This window comes from Homo sapiens, chromosome 9 (genome assembly GCF_000001405.40).
Source record: "Homo sapiens chromosome 9, GRCh38.p14 Primary Assembly".
NCBI lineage: Eukaryota > Metazoa > Chordata > Mammalia > Primates > Hominidae > Homo > Homo sapiens.
This window is the reverse complement of record NC_000009.12, coordinates 128,696,698-128,702,395: the sequence shown is the minus strand read 5'-3', so window position 1 is coordinate 128,702,395 and position 5,698 is coordinate 128,696,698.

Here is a 5,698-nt window from a genome sequence, read left to right as displayed (position 1 = left end):
TCTAACGCGCTGGGCCTCCTCGACCAAGCCCCTCAAGTCTCTCTTTGTCTCGCACGTTGTTGGTGTAATGTGGGCTAATCCAAAATTGTCTCTCTCCTCGGAGTGGTTGGCCCAGACTAGATATTAGTCACTACAAGAATGTATACTAGGCCAGGTGCGGTGGCTCACGCCTGTAATCCCAGCAGTTTGGGAGGCAGAGGTGGACGGATCACGAGGTCAGGAGTTCGAGACCAGCCTGGCCAACATGGTGAAACCCCCGTCTCTACTAAAAATACAAAAATTAGCCGGTCGTGGTGGCGGGCGCCTGTAATCCCAGCTACTCAGGAGGCTGAGGTGGGAGAATCACTTGTACCCAGTAGGCGGAGGTTGCAGTGAGCCGAGATCCTGCCACTGCCCTCCAACCTGGGTGACAGAGCGAGACTCCATCTCAAAAAAAAAAAAAAAAAAAAAAAAAGAACGTATACTTGTGGAAAAGTAAATCCTCACCCAAAATTATGATAAATTACAAATTACAGATGAATGAACCAGACCTCTCTCCGGCCCATCTCTTACTCAGACTGAGCTTGCTGGTTCAGCCCGTGCCACTTTTTAGGGCTTTACCCTAAAAAGCCCATCCATCCACACGGGAGAAAAGCCATTTACACCTGGTGAAATAGCCGCCACTATTTCAGCCCAAGGGAGGTGTGCTGGTCACTGCCTAGTCTATGGCGGGCCATTCAGCCCGTCCTGGCATCCTGCGTTTACAGGAGGTTGTGTCAGCACTTCGTGGAGGAGCGTCCTCCAGGAGGTGGGAAGGTGATGAAGGGTCAAATACCGACAGTGACTTGGAACAGACAGGCTCTGGTGCTCTTACTGAATGAAGGAAGCCACATGTTGTGCTTTGCACTAATCACTTCCTTCATAATGGACTGGAAAAAAGTGAAATTGGTGAGCCATGGACAACACTGGGTTGTCCTGCTATGGGAAATCACCCAAGTGGCATTGACATATAAGCAAAGGCAACTTGGCTCTGTGAAACATGCCCAGATTTCATAATCAGAGGCGAAATGTGACATTTACACATTAGAGTTGTTGAGGTCTAGACATTAGCAGAAGCACCTGGCACATAGTAGGTTCTTTGACATGGGGGTTGGCTGGGCATGGTGGCTCATGCCTGTAATCCCAGCACTTTGGGAGGCTGAGGAGGGCAGATCACTTAAGGTCAGGAGTTCAAGACCAGCCTGGCCAACATGGTGAAATCCCGTCTCTGCTAAAAAAAAATTAAAAAGGCAGCTGGGCGCGGTGGCTCACGCCTGTAATCCTAGCACTTTGGGAGGCCGAGGCAGGCGGATCACAAGGTCAGGAGTTCGAGACCAGCCTGGCCAACATGGTGAAACCCCGTCTCTACTAAAACTACAAAAAAAAAATATTAGCTGGGCATGGTGGTGGGTGCCTGTAATCCCAGCTACTAGGGAGGCTGAGGCTGGAGAATCACTTGAACCTGGGAAGTGGAGGTTGCAGTAAGCCAATCTCGCCACTACACTCCAGCCTAGATGACAAGAGCAAAACTGCATCTCAAAAAAATACATAAAATAAAAAATTAGAAAAACTAGCTGGGCGTGGTAGCGCACGCCTGTAGTCCCAGCTACTCGGGAGGCTGAGGCAGGCAAATCACCTGAATCTGGGAGGCAGAGGTTGCAGCGAGCTAAGATCACGCCACTACACTCCAGCCTGGGCAACAGAGCAAGATTCTGTCTCAAGAAAAATAAATAAATAAAAATAAAATAAAATGGAGGTTAAATGAACGTTATTATCCATCATTTAGAAGCAAAAAGGCTGACCAAGCCCAGTGGCTCATGCCTGTAATCCTAGAACTCTGGGAGGCTGATGAGGCAGGAGGATTGCTTGAGGCCTAAGAGTTCAAGACCAACCTGGCCAACATAGTGAGACACCATCTCTTAAAAAAGTAAAATAAAGAAGTAAAAAAGTCCTCAGCTTCTCACTGCAGCTCATCAAAAACCCAGGAATCAAACTAACAAGCCTTCCCCACCTTTTAGGAATTCTCCAGTGGTGCAATCAGTCCAGCCAGCTAATTAACACTTTAAAATGTGTATTTGCCTTGATGGCTAAATGTTACTTCTGGAAGCCAAGAGTAATCTGAGATAACTCTCCATAGGAGGGTGCTCACATCTCAACTCCCGGCTCATTTATCCACTCACTGCAGGCAGGAAGCTGAATTCGATGGTTTTCCAAGTTTGGTTGGAAAGTGGCTTTGTTTTTTGTTTTTTTGAGAGAGTCTTGCTCTGTCACCCAGGCTGGAGTGCAGTGGCTCAATTTTGGCTCACTGCAACCTCCACCTCCCGGGTCCAAGTGATTCTCATGCCTCAGCCTCCTGAGTAGCTGGGACTACAGGCACATGCCACCACACCTGGCTAATTTTTTTTTTTTTTTTTTTTTCTTTGAGACGGAGTCTCGCACTTTCGCCCAGGCTAGAGTGTAGTGGCTGATCTCGGCTCACTGCAAGCTCCGCCTCCAGGGTTCACGCCATTCTCCTGCCTCAGCCTCCCGAGTAGCTGGGACTACAGGCGCCCACCACCACGCCCGGCTAATTTTTGTATTTTTAGTAGAGACGGGGTTTCACTGTGTTAGCCAGGATGGTCTCGATCTTCTGACCTTGTGATCTGCTCGCCTCGGCCTCTCAAAGTGCTGGGATTACAGGCGGGAGCCACCGCGCTCGGCACACCTGGCTAATTTTTTATATTTTTAGTAGAGATGGGGTTTCACCATGTTGGCCAGGCCAGTCTCGAACTCCTGACCTCACGTGATGCACCTGCCTCAGCCTACCAAAGTGCTGGGATTACAGGTGTGGCTGCCGCGCCCGACCTGGGGAGTGTTTTTCACCACCTTACACAGGGAAGCCAAGTCCTGGACTGCTGGATGAGTCTGACCAGGTAGTTGCACCTTACTTCTGATAGTGATAACACTTCATAAGACTGGAATTCTTAGGAAATTCGTGTTCAGCATTTAGTGGACCGTGAATAGTGCAAACCAACTCTCTAGCCAGTTGGCCTTTAAAAGACTATAACTCACTGGGCGCGGCGGCTCGCCTGTAATCCCAACACTTTGAGAGGCCGAGGCGGGCGGATCACGTAAGGTCGGGAGTTCAAGACCAGCCTGACCAACATGGACAAAGCCCGTCTCTACTAAAAATACAAAATTAGCCGGGGTGGTGGCGCATGCCTGTAATCCCAGCTACTCAGGAGGCTGAGGCAGGAGAATCGCTTGAAACCGGGAGGTGGAGATTGAGGTGAGCTGAGATCGCGCCATTGCACTACAGCCTGGGTAAAAAGGGCAGAACTCCATCTCAAAAAAAAAAAAAAAAAAAAGACTATAACTCAACTGAAAGGAACCTAAAACTTGTCAACAGGCTGCATGAGGAAACATTTTCCCCCTTCCATGAATACAATTTTTTCCTTCTTGGTGTTGCAACCAATTTTTGTTTTTTCTGAGACGCCATCGCACTCTGTCGCCCAGGCTGGAGTGCAGTGGCACGATCTCAGTTCACTGCAACCTCCGCCTCCTGGGTTCAAACAATTCTCCTGCCTCAGTCTCCCAAGTAGCTGGGATTACAGGCGCCCACCACCATGCCTGGCTAATTTTTGTATTTTTAGTAGAGATGGGGTTTCCCCATGTTGGCCAGGCTGGTCTCGAACTCCTGACCTTGTGAACACCCACTCAGCCTCCCAAAGTGCTGGGATTACAGGCGTGAGCCACCGCGCCTGGCCCTACAACCAGTCCATTTTTATTTCGGTTTGTCTCTGGGTAGAATCTGAGCACACAATGTCACCAACTACAGTTGGTCTATACCCTCCACTTTAAAAGTCCTTGCTATTCTGCAGCCCTTTGCCTCAGGCCTATTAAAAAGTAAACTTGTGCTGGGCGCGGTGGCTCACGCCTGTAATCCCAGCACTTTGGGAGGCCAAGATGGGTGGATCATGAGGTCAGGAGATCAAGACCATCCTGGTTAACAAGGTGAAACCCCGTCTCTACTAAAAATACAAAAAATTAGCCGAGTGTGGTGGCCAGTGCATGTCGTCCCAGCTACTCGGGAGGCTGAGGCAGGAGAATGGTGTGAACCCGGGAGGTGGAGCTTGCAGTGAGCAGAGATCATGCCACTGCATTCCAGCCTGGGCAACGGAGCCAGACTCCGTCTCAAAAAAAAAAAAAAAAAAAAAAAAAGGAGTAAACTTGTGACTGGCCGGGCACTGTGACTCACGCCTGTAATCCCAGAACTTTGGGAGGCCCAGGCGGGCAGATCACGTGAGGTCGCGAGTTTGAGACCCGCCTGACCAACACGATGAAACCCCATCTCTACTAAAATATGAAAACTAGCTGGGTATGGTGATACGTGCCTGTAATCCCAGCTATTCAGGAGGCTGAGGCAGAAGAATGGCTTGAACCTGCTAAGTGGAGGTTGCAGTGAGCTGAGATCGTGCCACTGCACTCCAGCCTAGGCGACAGAGTGATACCTCTGTCTCAAAAACAAATAAAATGAAATCACTGGAGAAACAAAAACCGAGATGGTCTAAAGCAGAATATTCCTTAAGGTTTTGAAACTAGATGTAAGGACATCTTGCAAGCTACTGCCCTCCATCCTAATTCATGCAGTTATTAAATACCCCTCATAAACCAAATACAGCACAGCTTGGGAACACAGCCCCTTCCTAAACAGCCATTATTACTCTTGTCTTGTTTTGAACAGGGTCTTCTTGCTCTGTGGCCCAGGCTGAAGCACGGTGGCAAACTCATAGCTCAGTGCAGCCTCAAAACTCCTGGGCTAAGGCAATCCTGCCCCAGCCTCTCAAGTAGCTAGGATTAGCCTAGCGCCACCACACCTGTTTTTTTGTTTGTTTGTTTTTTAATGGTAGTGTTGGGATGTCCCTGTCATCCAGGTTGGCCTAGAGCTCCTGGACTTACACGATCCTTCAGCCTGGGCCTCCCAAAGTACTGCAATTACAGGTATGCGCCACTGTGCCCAACTTCTATTTTCTATTTTCAAATGTCCTTGAGAAAAGGAGCTGAGCCCATTCCAATACACACTAAAGACCAGCCCAAGAACTTGTCTTGCAGTTGGACACAAGGCATGCTGGCTACTGTGTATGGAAGTTTTTGGTACAGTAAGGTTGCCATTTTGTTTTCTCACAGCCTAGTTCTCTTACAAGATTTGCAGATATTAGTGGCACCTCAGGAGATCACAATAGTTGAGTGAACTACTACTACCTTAAAGGGCTCCCGATTTTTTACATTCCCGAAAATAAACGTTATTGTGACCTATAACCTGACAGCCCTAGACGCTCACCAGCATGTAAAACCACTAGTTGTGCTAAGTTTCACTGTTAAGTTTGTGAGAAAGTTATCACAGGCTTGTGGATATTGATTCAAATGACTACAGTAGCCCCACTTATCCAAAGGAGATACATTCTAAGATGCCCCAGTGGCTGCCTGAAACCACAGGAGTATCAAGCCCCATACAATTTTTCCTGTACCTGCCTATAAAACTTAATTTCCAAATTAAGCACAGTAAGAGATTAACGGTATAGGATAATTTTGACTATTGTATACTATAACTATACATTCACACATTTAACATACAGTATAGGTGTGAATGTAGTCTCAAAGTATCTGAATTGTAGTTGACCACATGTAGCTGAAGCTGCAG